Source organism: Homo sapiens, chromosome 13 (genome assembly GCF_000001405.40).
Source record: "Homo sapiens chromosome 13, GRCh38.p14 Primary Assembly".
NCBI classification, from domain to species: Eukaryota; Metazoa; Chordata; class Mammalia; order Primates; family Hominidae; genus Homo; species Homo sapiens.
This window is the reverse complement of record NC_000013.11, coordinates 57,619,818-57,635,464: the sequence shown is the minus strand read 5'-3', so window position 1 is coordinate 57,635,464 and position 15,647 is coordinate 57,619,818. Positions and strand designations below refer to the sequence as shown.

At 42.6% G+C, this 15,647-nt stretch overlaps 1 protein-coding gene across 4 annotated transcripts in view, besides 2 other annotated features; it reads right to left on the bottom strand.

Moving 5' to 3' along the window:
- PCDH17 (protocadherin 17) overlaps nucleotides 1-5,357 on the bottom strand; it is a 99,204-nt gene extending 93,847 nt beyond the window's left edge. For 2 of the 4 annotated variants that reach the window (XM_005266357.3, XM_047430276.1), the window contains exons 1-2: nucleotides 4,817-5,357; nucleotides 354-4,710 (exon numbers count right to left, since the gene is read on the bottom strand). In XM_005266357.3, the coding sequence (XP_005266414.1) occupies nucleotides 354-2,918 (2,565 nt within the window). In that variant the 5' untranslated portion in view covers nucleotides 2,919-4,710; nucleotides 4,817-5,357. Of the gene's footprint in view, nucleotides 1-353; nucleotides 4,711-4,816 lie in introns of those variants that run through there. The other 2 variants (NM_001040429.3, XM_017020547.2) reach the window with 1 other exon arrangement.
- Nucleotides 2,535-3,214: an enhancer, noted in NCBI's record as "H3K4me1 hESC enhancer chr13:58206385-58207064 (GRCh37/hg19 assembly coordinates)". NCBI's record gives its function as "activates a minimal SCP1, AML or CMV promoter by ChIP-STARR-seq in naive H9 embryonic stem cells {active_cell/tissue: H9 hESC(naive)}" and the evidence as "EXISTENCE:reporter gene assay evidence [ECO:0000049][PMID:30033119]".
- Nucleotides 5,173-5,758: an enhancer, noted in NCBI's record as "OCT4-NANOG-H3K4me1 hESC enhancer chr13:58203841-58204426 (GRCh37/hg19 assembly coordinates)". NCBI's record gives its function as "activates a minimal SCP1, AML or CMV promoter by ChIP-STARR-seq in naive H9 embryonic stem cells {active_cell/tissue: H9 hESC(naive)}" and the evidence as "EXISTENCE:reporter gene assay evidence [ECO:0000049][PMID:30033119]".

The following is a 15,647-nucleotide window of genomic DNA, read 5'->3' as shown; positions in this document are numbered from 1 at the left end:
TTTTTTTCTGCTCTGGGAATTCCTTTTTATGAAAAGAAATGTAAACCAACAAATAAAAGTAAGTAAAATAAGCTATTATTATTGAACACTGCTAACATTTTTAAACCTATAAAAATAAATTTTAAAATGAAACAGTAAGATATTTACGTTTGGTAGAGTTTAGACTATTTACATGGGAGGGGTTATATGTAGAATATGATGTATACACAGTGTCAAAAGTGTAAACCGTTTTCATTTAATTATTTTTCCCCCTCACTGCTGCTGGCAGAGTGGCTTGCCCTGTTCCAAAGGTTTCAGGACAGCTCCAAAACCAGCAATAAAGTGAACTCCCAGTTATGCTAAAAGTCTCCTACCTGAATTATGGACATCCGAGTGGCAGGGGTCTCGCTTGCATTAGTCCCTTGTCCGGTGAAGCTGGTGTGGCAGCCCGCGTGCCCCTGAGGGACAGTCAGGTTGTTGGAGGCCGGTTTGAGATACATCACCTCCGACCGGGGCGAGCTGAGGGGCAGGCGGGTCTGGTAGTCGAAGTACATGGGGGAGGTGGCCAGGGAGGGGCTGCTCACCACGTTCATGACGTTCATGGCGTTCCTCTCCTCCACTTCGCTCTGCACCAGCATGATATCATTTTTGTTGATCTTCTTCTTCTTGCCCTTGCCCCCACCCAGCTGCGGGTGGCTGTACTCGGCGATGCGGCAGTTGTAAGTGCGGATCTCCTTGTTCTCGCGCTTGCACTTGACGGCGATGGTGATCATGGCCGCTAGGAGGATGATGGAGATAGTGCTCAGAGTCACGATGAGCGGCAGCGACATGTCCCAGTGGTGCTGCTCGCCATTCACCCGTGGTACCCCCTCGGGAAGGGATCCGCTCACCGAGCGGATGATGAGCTTGGCCACTGCGGACAGGGTAGGCTTGCCGTGGTCGGTCACCTTCACCACCAGCTCCACCACGGGCGTCACGTCCTCCCAGAAAGGGTGCAGCGTGCGGATCTCGCCGCTGGACGGGTCGATCTCAAACAGGTGGTCGTCGTTGCCGTCCACGATCTCGTAGGTGAGACGCCCGCTCTCGCCGAAGTCGCTGTCTAGGGCGCGCACAGTGCTCACCAGATAGCCCAGGCCAGCGTTGCGCGGCACCTGCAGCTCCGCGGTGTCGTTCTGCAGCGTGGGGAGCACGATCACTGGCGCGTTGTCATTCACGTCTAGCACTGTCACCCTCACCGTGGCGTTGCTCTCCAAGTGCGCGGGCGCCCCCGAGTCCTTAGCAAGCACCTTGAACTCAAAAGCCTTGGTCTGCTCGAAGTTAAAGGAGCGCAGGGCGTAGATGGCCCCGTTCGTGGGATTCACAGACACATAGGTGTAGATAGACACGTCGCCGATGTGCGAGGGCAGGATAGAGTAGGATACGGTGCCGTTCTGGCCCAGGTCGGGATCCTGGGCGAGCACAGAGCCCAGGTACTCTCCCGGGATGTTGTTCTCGTGCACCTGAAGCACGTAGAGCCCTTTGGTGAACCGAGGCGGGTTGTCGTTCTCGTCTAGAATCTTGATCGCGAACGACTTGGTGGAGTTGAGGGGAGGAGAGCCCCCGTCCCGCGCCACGATGGTCACGTTGTACTCGTCTTGTGTCTCGCGGTCCAGCGGGCGGTCAGTCACCACCGTGTAGAAGTTGTCGTAGTTCTCCTCAAGCTTGAAGGGGACGGAACCCCCGGGCCCGCCCAGGCCCCCGCCGCCGCCCGTCCCTCCTCCGCCTAGGACCCGACACTGCAGCTGTCCGTTCTTGCCAGAGTCCCGGTCAGTGACCCGCACCAGGGCGATGACGGTGCCGGGAGGGGCGGCCTCGCTCAGCGCCCCCTGGCGCACGGAGACGAAACCGATGGACGGCGCATTGTCGTTGCGGTCGATGAGCTTGACCGTGACTTTGCAGTGGGCTGGGATAGGGTTAGGCCCCAGGTCTCGGGCCTGCACGTCAATCTCCAGCATCCCGTTTTCCTCATAGTCCAGATTGCCCTTCACACGGATTAGGCCGGTCTTGGGGTCGATGGAGAAGAGCTCCCGCACGCGGTCAGGCACGTAGCTGCTGAAAGAGTAGAGCACTTCACCATTGGGACCTTCATCGGCGTCGGTGGCGTTCAGATCGATGACCACTGTACCCAGCGGAGCGTTCTCGGGCAGTTCCACCAAGTAGGATGGCGCCTCGAAGACCGGGCTGTTGTCGTTGGAGTCAATCACCTTCACGTTGATCTGTACGGTGGCGGAACGTGGAGGCTCGCCACCGTCCAGGGCAGTCAGCACGAGCGTATGGTGATTCTGTTGCTCGCGGTCCAGAGCCTTCTGGATGACCAGTTCTGGGAACTTGGTGCCGTCGCCGCGGGACTTAACGTCCAGTCCAAAGAGGCCGTGATCGTCGCGCGTGAGCAGGTAGGTGCGGAGCCCATTCTCGCCGGCGTCGGGGTCATGTGCGCTGGTGAGGGGGAAGCGGGTGCCCGGAGCAGCGTTCTCCGAGATGTCCATTTCGATCTGGTCCGAGGAGAAGGAGGGCGCGTTGTCGTTGATGTCCTGGATCTCTACCTTGATCATGCAGATCTCCTTGTCGTTGGCGAACACCTCGAGGGACAGCTGGCACTTGGCATTGTGGCGGCACAGGGACTCGCGGTCGATGCGCTGCTTGGTGTAGAGGAGCCCGCTGTCTGCGTCCACGTCCAGCAGGTGCGGTGCGGAGTTCTCCAGCACCCGGTAGCTACCCGACTTGCTGCGCCCTCCGCCGCCGCGCTCTGCAGGCGGAAGCCCAGGCTGCAGTCGAGCATCCCTGCCGATGTTCCCGATCACCGTGCCGGCCCCTTGCTCCTCCGGCACGGAGTAGTTGAGGTTCTTGAGAGTGAGGGCAGGGGCCCATAGAAGAAAGCAGCAACAGATGGAAAGGTACATCCCAGACCTGTAAGGTGGGGGCAGGAGCAATCGGACTGGAGGAGCCAGAGAGGGAGTGCGCGCCAGCCTGGGGCCCTGGCGCAGCGTGCGCGCGCGACGCGAGCCACAAGTCTATGGGTCCTTTTTTCCCTCTGCACCCGAGCTGCGGCACCCGGTGGTCTCTCCTTATTCTGCTCAAGTTCCCTGAACCTGTTGATCTACAGCATCCGCACTGGGTGAGAAGCTGCGGTGCAGCAGAGCTGCAGGGGCTTGGAGCAAGGCGGTGGCTTCCTGCGGCTGGGGGTGAGCCAGGGGTTTCGTCTCTCCCGCCCGGACTTCGGGAGGCTCAAACTTGAGCGATGAGGCAGGCGATAAGAAGGAAATCTCGTCTGGGAGAGATGATAATGAGCTAAAGAATCAGTAGGTTTTCCTCGCTCCCGCTAGGGTGCTGCAAATCTACTCCCGCCCGGAGACTCCGGAATACTCTTCACATCGAGTGGGGGAGGGAGCAGGGAGGTGTGTCTCTAGGCAGATCCGAAAGTGAAATTCTTACTTGCTGCTCGCCTCCCGTGATGAAATTGATGGGGATGAAGAGCAACGAAGACAGAGTCACAGATATATTTTGAAGCTTCCCCAGCGCACCGTGAAATGTCTGCTTGCTGCGCGGGCCGGTCTGTTTTCAGGCAGTGTTTTGCTGCATTTAGAGATCTAATCTTGCATTGCTGGCTGAGGCAGCGGCGGCGGCGGACTGCATCTACCAGCCAAGCGTATTTTTTTTTTCCTCTCTCTCCTTTCCGAGCAGCCAAAGGGAGGGGAGGAAATGCAGCGTAAAGAACTAGTGTCCCGATTTGTAGTTTCCTCTCCCCACCAGGCTCCTCCCTCTCTTCCTCGGAAAAGGCTCTCCCCCGAAATCAAGAAAGCCACAGCCTGATCAGCATTTGCTGTGTGAGTCTATTGGGAGGGGGGAAGTAGAGAGATAAATCTTCGCCTCTGTTCGTAGAACACACTCTCTGATTTCTCTACGCCAAGCCAGTAGCCTCCGCTACCATCCCATCCTCTCCCCGCGAGCAAGGACTTCTCTCCAAGCAGTTTAATTCCAGTTTGCTTTTCTTCCCAGGCGAAGGGAAATCAACAGGCAACTCATGGTTGGACGTGCACATTTAAAGGAGGAGGGGGGAGGCCGAATAAAAAGGAAGGGGGAGCCTCCCTCCCAGTCCTTGCACACACACTCTCCCTGTCTCTCGCTAGAAGGGAAACAGTCTCTGCATTCACAGGGCTGGGCTGTCAAGTGCCTCTTTTCTTTCTATTCAGCATCTCCTTCCAATAGCCCTGCCTCCCAGTCCTCTTCATCTAGAAAAGAAAACCTTGGCGAGGAATAAAAGTGATGAATATTTGAAGCAAATAAAGTACGTGTTTTTTTTTTTCCTTCAATTTTCTCTTATAGTAGGAGGAGTGGGCTGGATGAAAGCAACACATCAAGGTTTGGCGTGATGCATTCTGCAGTCTCTCTTTCAGTTTTTCTGGGCGACTCAGGGAGGGCAGGGGGTGCAGAGCTGCGGCCGCGGCGGTCCAGCCAGGGGCTCCTACCCCGGGGAGCTCCCTCCGAGGGGATGTTAGACACAGGTCTGTCTACACATTATTTCGGGTTCTGGAGGCGCCTCGACATACGGGAATGACACATCCAGAAATGCAGGTGTTCCGATCTGCCGGATGAGTCAGAAGCAGCGGAACGAATCGTATTCACTCTCGCCTCATGGTCCTCCCTTCACAGACATTAGTTGCGGCTTCTTCCTAACGCTTTCTCTGACTCAGTCTATAGAAAGAAAAACCAGATTCATGTTTTTGGGGAAAAAGAAAATGCAAGAGAAAAGGATGGAGGGAAGAAGGTGAAGCTGAATCTAGCAGCACTTTTACTCTACCTCTTTCTGCCGGAGTCCGAGGTTCTGGAAAACAAGGCGTCTGCTTTGCTAGGTGTATTGGTTTATTTATTTTGTTTATTTTTTTTAAACCTTTCCTCTTGGTTAGGCGAGAGGTACCCCGAAATTTTTCAGAGTCTTGGAAAAGGAAAAACAAAATCAGGTTTCCAGTAATTGTTCCCAGCTTAGCCTCGCATCATAGTTCAAGATTTTCCTCTCAATTTTTTCTATTCACAAAGTCCAACATCGATGTGTACAGTTAATTGTGCAGTCTGTTGTGGAGGTTTTTTTTTTTTTTAATTCCTCCTTTTCTGTCACGGGTGGTCTCTTTCAGTCTGGTGTCTGCCGGGATCACCCCACAGTCTGAGAAAGATATGCGGATTTCAAAGCAAATAAATCCATCTCCGCAAGCAAAGCAGCGGATGAAAGGAAAGGTGAAAATTCAATTCAACAGTTGGAGTAGCGTCTCCCCAGCCGCCTTCCGCCGCTGCCGCATCCGCCGGGCTCGCGATCCCTGCTCTCTCCCCAGCGTCTCTTGCTGACTGACTCTATTCACCTCACGCCGCCGCTTAAACATTGATACTGATTCCCTGTCAGCCAATCCGAGCGAGGAGCAAGGCCCTGCCTTCTCGGCCCGCGTCCAATGGGAGGCGGAGAAGAGGATGGCGGGGGCGGGGCCAGGAGCCCCGGCTCTTCGGAGTCATTGATTAGATCAGTTAGATGGGGAACCAGTCCGGCTAGCGGAGCCCAGCGCTCCGCCAAAGCGGACGCGCCCCAGGATTCGCCACCAGGTCTCCCGGGCCTTTAACCACCGGGAGTAGCTCTTCCAGCGCCTTCCTTCGGAAAAGAGAATTTACAAAAAAAAGTTTAACAGCGATTTAATTTTTTTGTGGTCCTACATACACGGAATCGGGAATCGCAGTATGCTTGCAGAATAACGTAGCTGCGGTCTGCCTAAAGGGTTTCTCTACACACACTCTCACACACGCACGCACACACGCCCTCGCCGCACACACGCCCATGCCAAGGGAAGCGCAGCCCTGACTCCGCGTGGACCCATCTGAATGAGGTGCGGAGGAGTGTACGTGGGTGTGTGTGAATGCGCTTCCACGGGCTGAGATGTGTATTTCGGTGAGTGTGTGTGAATTCGAGGGCGCTCGTGAGCCCGTTTCTGCCCGCGCTGGTACGAACATGCCGCGAGCAACAGCAATCAATATGTAACTTTCTTCATCCTCTGAGAAAAATCAGCTGTCCTCAGGCACCTATGCAAGGAAAGTCACTTAATTATGAAAGTGTTTCAGAAGAAAAGCAGACTCCCGTTGAAAGAGAGGCTATGTCTCTTAAGAGAAATAGAGCCTCTCCTTTAAGGAGAAAGGCTCACTGTCAATACAAGCTTTGTAAACTCAAATCCGGCTAAATACTACTTAAGGTTCTACCCCTTTTGGTCATCCTTCCTCACCATCTCAGCCCAGGTTCAAGGTAAAGTGGATACCCACCCCCCAACCCCCGACACACACACACACACACACACACACACACACACTAGTTTCGGTGTTTTGTTCACCTCCATTCTTGTTATTAAAGTGTCACATTGCAATTTGATTTTTTCTCCTTAAGATCAAATAGCCATTGATAACCGCATTTGCTAAAGATCCATGAAAACAAAAGTATAAAACACGAAGGCCAATCATTAGGAGATCTAAGATTTCTGTTTTGTAAGCCATAACACACACACACATATATACACACACACACACACCACCACCACACACCACATACACAAGCACACATACACAGGCCGACTTCTGATTCATCTATTTATTCTCCAACTTCATTTACTAATCTCAGAGAGGTTTTTTTCCCTAAATATTATCACAAACATCTGCAACTGGAGACTGGTTTGCTCGTGATCCAGCCGTTCTGAGAAAGAGTTAAGAACAAAAAAGAAAATTGAAGTATTGAAATAGAAAAGGTGAGTGTTTGATTGCTAGAGTATTGATCGCAATTCATAAATACTGAAGTTGCCATTTATAAATTGTGAATGACTAACATACAAGTGTGTAACATGAATCATTCAGCCTTCAAAGAAAATCAAATCCAAACAAATTACAAGATAGTTCTGAAGATTTTTATTGGGATAATTGCTTAAAGATTCAGGTATAGGAGCTGTTTCCTGGAGTATTCAATGAGATAACCTATAGTCTGAATTTGCAGTCTGATCTGTATCAAAAATTCGCCATTCCCTTAAGAGACTCTGACAGTTTAAAAACTCAAAGAGAAGCTGTTTACAGCCAGACTTTTAAATCCTAAAGTGTCTTTGTATTTTCTAAACAGGTAGTTTGTCACGCATATACTATTGCTGAACGGGAGAGTCAGAGCTTTGTAGAAATCTAGATTGTTTTCCTGAGTGAGTACTTAACCATGCTGCCTTGGGAAATGCCAGTTTTATGTCTCTTTGGGGTTAATACCTCTGTCCCAAGGCACGTATTTTGGAAGCTGAAGATCAGAGGTTTTAAGGCTTTAAAAGCAGCAGCTAACTTGAATAAAGAATAGTGACTGCACATTCACTTATTATTACTTTTTAAATACAGCAAATCTATGTCTTTTTTGCATTACATACTAATTCAAAGAAAGTAATAAAATATCCTTGAGGTTTGTTTGCCATAAAGCAAAAACAAGAGAATGGGAAAAATTCCAAGGAAAGGGTATTATGATTTATCAATTAGACTTAATGAGATGTGCTGGCATGCAACTGAGAGTTGTTAGAAATACAGCTTCTAAGAGACCCAGTGATATGAGAATACATCCTCATAGAGATAAATTTGCTTACGACCCCTCCAGAGTAATTATGTCACATCGCCCCCTAGTGTATATAAAAAGAACTACCATGCTTTAGGTGAAGACCACAGCGTGTCTGACTGAAATGTATCACATATTTGTATTTTATTTAACCTATAGTATTAAATTTTATTGCTGAATACTGACATATACCCAAGGTACTTAATTTTCTTCCTTATGTCCCATACCTAGTTTATGTTCAAAGGGAGTGAAATTAACTGATATTTCATTTCCAATGGTTTGGCTTTCCTTTAACCACAATAATCACTCCTAATTTTTAACCATCTCTTAAGACTTGTATTTTTTCCCCAAACAGTTTTTTTGTTTACAACATAGTTATTGAGGAATGTATTTTTCACTGTGTTTAAAGTATTAAACTTAATTTTAAAAAGAGAGATAGTATAAATATAGCTAAATCGTTCAGAAATATGTTTTAATACCATAGAAGGCTACATAGAACCCGAAACTGAGGAATCTAGAAGAATATATGTTTGTATAAATAGCTAAAGATACTTGCAGTCTCACGTCTCAAGAAGAGACTGATTGATAGTTGTTATTTATAATTACAAATGATAGTCTTAACCTTAAACAGAAATTATATCTTTTAATACACACACATTAAACATCTAAAGATTTGTAAGTTATTCAAACCATGTATGTGTGGATACTCATTGAGAAAAGTATTTGGAAAGACATATAATTATAACGTGTCTAATAAAATATGCTAGTCTAGGTGAGTTTTAAAGGTAAATTGATTGTTATGTTGGAATAGCTTCAAAAAGACAACTATTAAAATCTATTTTTATAGACTGATAAAAATGATTAGTACTGCTATAGTATTCCAATAATTGAATAGCACTATTATTAAAGAATAATGTTGAAATGCAATTTATGGAATTTTATGTAACGTAACTTATTTAATTTTGCCTCAGAAAGACTCCTTAAAATACATATTTATTAGTTGTAGTTGTAGTTCTGAGAGTTTATGCATGCAGTCATAATAGCATCAGTTTTAACATTCTTCAGCCACTTGTCCTACTTGCTGTGTTCTTGAGTTCAATAAAATACAGTTCTTAAGAGACATTTTTGATGCTGATGTTTTCAATGCAGTCGTTGTTTATATGAATAAAAAGTCATTCTCTCCACAATTATTCTCTCCTTCTGTATCATTTTTACCATCAATTCACTGCCTGGTTTCATACATTTTTATTCATTAACAGAAAATTTTCAAAAGTAAATTTAATAGCTAAACTGTTTTAGATATAATATGTATCAAAGATTTCCATGTCACATTTAAATTATCAAATTAATGATAGAAGTTCCTTCATAGCTAGTTCTCCTAGCTGCTCTTCTCTTTTAGAGATATGTATGGTTCACCTCTAATACACAGCCATCAACCATTTTATAACTTTTCTTTTTTTTTTTTTTTTGAGATGGAGTCTTACTCTGTCACCCAGGCTGGAGCGCAGTGGTGCGATATCAGCTCACTGCAACCTCTGCCTCCCGAGTTCAAGTGATTCTTCTGTCTCAGCCTCCCGAGTAGGCTGGGATTACAGGCATGTACCACCATGCCCGGCTAATTTTGTATTTTTAGTGGAGATGGGGTTTCTCCATGTTGGTCAGGCTGGTCTCGAACTCCCAACCTCAGGTGATCCGCCTGTCTCGGCCTCCCAAAGTGCTGGGATTATAGGCGTGAGCCACCGCGCCTGGCCCATTTTCTAACTTTTTAATAAAAGCTTTACCTTTTAACAAATGAGAAATCCACACTACTAACAGGACAATCGCTAAAACATATCTTTCTCCTTGATGATAAACGTGGACTGTATAAAAGCAACATAATTTAACAAGAATTTTTAAAATTCTGGAAAAAAATTTAATAATTTGTTCATAATTTTTAAAAATATAATTACTGTTTATTTTTAAATTTTTTGAAAACTCAATCTTGCCTACAGAACAACACAATAAGAAAAAGTATAAAATATTTCTATAAACAGACAGCATTTTAAATTTAATATAGAACTTTTTTGTTTTTATTACAATTGTGAAATGTTGCTATTAGAAAAAATATTTAGATCAGGAAATGTATTTTAATTTTCTTCAATATTACGTCTATGTTATAATATGTAATATATGATGACATATACATATCTATTAATATGCGTTCTCCTTGCTAGTATAAGAAGTGTGTTGCCGATGAACACTCGAAGTCACTTTGTAGGATTAACCCTACAAAGACAGGCAAGTTACATCTTCAAGAGGTTAATTTGTAATTCATGCAATAAATAAACTAAATTTACAACTCGTATTTTTGTACTTTATGTACAATTTTAAGTTTGTAAGTCAGAAGTAAATGTAAATTAGTAACCAATGACTCTTGAAAAGTGACACATATTTCAGGGCATACATTCTGAAGTACTGAGACATATTTAAAATTATTTTAAGACTTTTATATTTAAGTTTTAAAATTGAATGTCATTTAGTGTGGTCAAAATAAATTGTGTATGTATAGATAGACTTGACCATGGATAAAAAAGAGTTGTCCAACCAAATAACATGTTATACTCTATCTGATGTATTAGCTAGTACATATTAAGAAGAGGAGTTAGATTAAGTTGTGCAAAATGTAATTCAGAGAAAAACTGTCTTGAGCTTCATGAGTTTCAAGTGGCATATTTCCATTCTTTCCTAATTTGTCAGCCAGAAACAAGATCAATTCATTACACAACCTCAATGCTCCTGCCCCATAAGAAGTTACATGCTAGCTCCCCCTTGTGGTCACTTTGACAGTAGAGCGAGACATTCCGGCATTAGGGAAATTTACTTCTTAGGAAAATTAGGTTTGTTTAATCTTTGTATACTACTTTTTAAAAACAAATGAAAAGCTTATGAATTAAATAGTTAATTTACAGATGTGACCGCTGGATTGTTAAAATAAGGTGGCTAAAGCTGGAAACAAATATGATGATTTCATGCATGGTGCAGCAATCTCATTGTTTCTTATAGCTAAGCATGTTAGGACAATTCTAAAGCTGGAGACCAGCCCTTGGAGGCAACCCGGGACATTTGATTCAGTAGGTGGCACTCTTTCCTCAGAGTCAGTTTAGCAACAATGACCTAAAATGATGTTTCAAAAAGCTGTGTCACCGGAGGTCCTGCCTTTCAGGTGAGGCAAAAACCAAAAACTTATAATAACTTATGGATATAACAAGCCATATATTTCTTTCCATAATTCTGAGGTATTTAAGCAGCCTGTTGTATAGCTCTCGCACAGAGATCAATGAGAAGAATATAGAAGTACGCTGAGCTCTTCAGAAAGCAAATAAGTACTCTACAAATCCCTGCATTTTAATTATCATCATAATCATTAACCCTCCCAAGTTTCAGCGACAAGGTCTTACTTGGATAATTACGTTCTGCTTATGTAAATTCCTCTTTTCAGTGAGCTAAGCATATTATTTTCTCTTATCTTTTAAAATTCGGAGCATTTCAATTGAAAACTAAGCGCTGTTAAACAGCTATTGTCTGTCACCCTCAAAATAGCACACTCTTGTTTTAGGTAAAGCACCTTTGTTTATTTTTTCCCCCAAAAATATTCATAAACAAATACACATCCAATAAAATAATTTCTGTTCTTACTTGAGTGATGTTTTTGAAATGATGTTAGATATTAAATAAAAGGAACCACTGGAATGAAACTTCTTGAAAATTACCATGGCTGAATTCATTTTTGGAGCTACTGAAATCTAATCTATCTCTATACTCAGATTTTTAAAGAGTATCTGTAGCTTTCTGAGTCAGTGTCACTTGTTACCAGTGATAAGAGAAAAGGTAAGAAGAATATGTAGGAAAAAGGCCATAATCATTTAGAAATGGACAATACTAAAACAGAAATAGAATGATTTATATAATATTTTAATTAAACATTGAAAGACTTAAGTAGAACTTTGGTAGTAAATAAGTGAGATATCTTAATTTCTTACCAAAAATGCTTTTTGCAATATATGTTTGATATGTGACAACCATAAATGTAGTATTAGAAAAAAGGAATTTAGATTCTCAAGTGCTTATTTAAATATTGGCCAATTTTTCTCAGAAAAATACAGATCAAATTCAGAAACATATTGGTTATAATAATTATATGAGTCAGGGTGATCCATTTTCCCCTCCGAGTCATATACTAAGGGAATAAGACTCAAAGAAAGGCATAAAAACAGATTAATTTAAAATTTATTGTACTGCTCAGCCATTTATACAAATATAAATTAATAATATTCTGAAAATGTATCAATAAGGAATACCGCTAATTAAATTCCTTTGTTACAAGGATCCATTCAAGAATATGCTTGAATGCTACAAGACCTCTTTTCAATAAATTTGATGGTAATCTATAAATTCAATGTACACAAATATTTTCATGAACACTTGTAGGAATTGTATATAGTTGACTAGCATACGCATTGTTTACAATGAGTAGCTCAGTTTCAACAATTTTCAGGAATTAGCTTTAATCTGCTAATATTAAAATTTTAAGAAAAGTGAGACAGGTTTGTGTAATACATTGCACAATATGATCATATTTTAATAATTGAAAAATCTGTTTATAAAAATAGCTTCCTGTGCTTATGACCAGAAACTTCATTTACAATTGGAAGCTTGTAACTATTGTGGTTCAAGTGCATCTCACAACCAGGAGAGAATAAAAAGATTGTCCAGGGTGCAGTCTTTTCACTTTGCTATTCAGGATTAGCAGCAAAAAATCCATTGAGATGTAGAGATCTTTCTCACTCTGGTGAAAGATGGATGGTATAAATCTGTCTAGTTAGAGGTAAAGGGCACTACTGATGTGAACGGGCAAAAGCAGTAAGAGAAGGGCATAAAAATGGGCTGAGACGATGGGGTTTTCTAAATACACAATCATGTCATCTGCAAACAGGGACAATTTGACTTCCTCTTTTCCTAATTAAATACCCTTTATTCTTTCTCTTGCCTGATTGCCCTGGCCAGAACTTCCAACATTATGTTGAATAGGAGTGGTGAGAGAAGGCATCCCTGTCCTGTGCCAGTTTTCAAAGGGAATGCTTCCAGTTTTTGCCCATTCAGTACAATATTGGCTGTGGGTTTGTCATAAGTAGCTCTTACTATTTTGAGATACGTCCCATCAATACCTAATTTATTGAGAGTTTTTAGCATGAAGGGCTGTTGAATTTTATCAAAGGCCTTTTCTGCGTCTATTGAGATAATCATGTGGTTTTGGTCTTTGGTTCTGTTTATGTAATGGATTACGTTTATTGATTTGCATATGTTGAACCAGACTTGCGTCCCAGGGATGAAGCCCACTTGATCATGGTGGATAAGCTTTTTGATGTGCTGCTGGATTCGGTTTGCCAGTATTTTATTGAGGATTTTTGCATCGATGTTCATCAGGGGTATTGGTCTAAAATTCTCTTTTTTTGTTGTGTCTCTGCTAGGCTTTGGTATCAGGATGATGCTGGCCTCATAAAATGAGTTAGGGAGGATTCCCTCTTTTTCTATTGATTGGAATAGGTTCAGAAGGAATGGTACCGGCTCCTCCTTATACCTCTGGTAGAATTTGGCTGTGAATCCATCTGGTCCTGGACTTTTTTTGGTTGGTAAGCTATTAATTATTGCCTCAATTTCAGAGCCTGTTATTGGTCTATTCAGGGATTTTTCTAAGAAGAAATGTAAGCACCTTAAACTACCTAAGATTAAACACAGTTTAAAACCTTGTCCTAGTTCTAAATTGAGTTAGTGACATGTGCAGTTGTCACGTATTACTCCTTTGCCTCAAATCTTGCTAAACTGTCATTAAAAATATCACTAGAAAATAAATGAATACAAAGAAAATTGTGCATGATAATAGAAAGAGAAACAGTGACATATTTGAATAACTAAGAGTGATTTATAGATACAGGTGAGATGGGACTAGTCCCATCTTGACGTTTCTCAAGTCTTAACTCCCCAGAGTCACTTCCCTGGGAGTAAGAGGAAGGAGACCCTGGAAGAATGTAAATATCATGTCCATGAAGAGAAGAAGCACAAATAGTAGGCTGTGGAAAGCAGTGGATGCAAATTTTATTTTATCAGTAGCTATAGGAAGTGAATCAGAAGTTTCAGCCCTCACTTTTGTCTGGATTTGATAAAAATCTGCAGTCTCTCAGGGAATCTGTCTTAACCCCCTCAAGGATCTCTCTCTGTGAAGATGAACAAGGTAAGTGTATCATTATGAAAAATAGTACTACTGTTAAGTTAGAGTTTCAGGACCACATTAAGGAATCAAAGTATACATTCTCTTACAAAGTGGAATTAATGCAGAAACAGAAGAAAGTCTTCATAAAAATTGTACATCAAGGTCTCAAAAAGATTTTTGGAAACAGTGAGTCCATGAAACTTGAATAGGTAATCATGAAGACAAAGTGACAATATTTAAAATGTCATGACTGAGGCCGGGCGTGGTGGCTCACGCCTGTAATCCCAGCACTTTGGGAGGCCGAGGCGGGTGGATCACCTAGGGTCAGGAGTTCGAGACCAGCCTGGCCAACATGGCGAAATCCCATCTCTACTAAAAATACAAAAATTACGTGGGCGTGGTAGCGGGCGCCTGTAATCCCAGCTACTTGGGAAGCTGAGGCAGGAGAATCACTTGAACCTGGGAGGCGGAGGTTGCAGTGAGCTGAGATCATGCCATTGCACTCCAGCCTGGGCAACAAGAGTTAGACTCCATGTCAAAATAAATAAAATAAAATAAAATATCATGACTGTAAAGTGAAAAACTACAGTAAGTGCAGTCAATAGCAGAAGAATATTGCAGAAAACTTGGAGAAATACAAGAGAAAGTTCAGATATTTTTCTATAACTCAGAGCAATGGGGTGGATGAAGAGATAAATAAAATCAGAGAAAAATAAATACAATGACAAGAACAGGCTATTACCAGAATATAGTAATAAATGACAGAAATTTTAAAAGAAGAAAACAAAATAAAATGGGGAAACTGAGGAAAATCTATAACCATAAAAATATGAGGAAAAAAGGTTGAAAAGGCCTAGGTTTATAAATTAGACCACCTCATTGAATACCAGCAAAATGTAAAAACAAACATAGACATATTCCCCCGACATGTGAAATTCAAAGATGATGAAAAAATTACTGTTAAGGGGTAACCCCAATTTACACTTCCCAGAACTGCTTTGGGTGGTCTCCTAATTTCTTTTAATTTTCATTAACTCACTTTCATGTATTTTTCTTCTTCTATAAGAGAGATTTGTCTTCTGAATGTCTCATCCTCTATGTATTTAATACCTGTATAGAACTTTGAGCTCCCACAAATCAATAAGAAACGTGGAATTATTCCTCAAGGAAAAGAAAAAAACAAAACTTCAGCAAGTGATAGTAAAGAACAAGCTCCAAAAAAAGGAATATAATTTATTTATTTATTGACCTAGCAAATGAGATGTAAATTTTAGGGTTTTAGGGCATGGAATTATAATAGTGAAGGAGGCAGACAAAGAAGGTGCTTCATCCAAGATCCAAGGTTGTATAAATTCAGTGTTACTGTAGGAGTGGAGGTCCACATTTCCTTGCTGGTTCTCAGACAAGAGACTTCCTCAGCAGTTTGCATTCTTTTTTTGTTTTTCTTTTTTTGTTAAATTATTATACTTTAAGTTTTAGGGTACATGTGCACAACGTGCAGGTTAGTTACATAAGTATACATGTGCCATGGTGGTGTACTGCACCCACTAACTCGTCATTTAACATTAGGTATATCTCCTAATGCTATCCCTCCCCCGTCTCCCCACCCCACAATAAGCACCATTGCCCTTCCATATTCAAACCAGAAAAGCCTGTTCCTTCTCAAGCTTTAAATCTGTCTGAATTCCCCTTCTGTGCTATTTCTTTGGCCTCCAGTAGAAGAAAATTCTCTGCTTTTAAGGGCTTATGTTATTAGATTGGGTCCAGTCAGACAACTCAGGACAATCT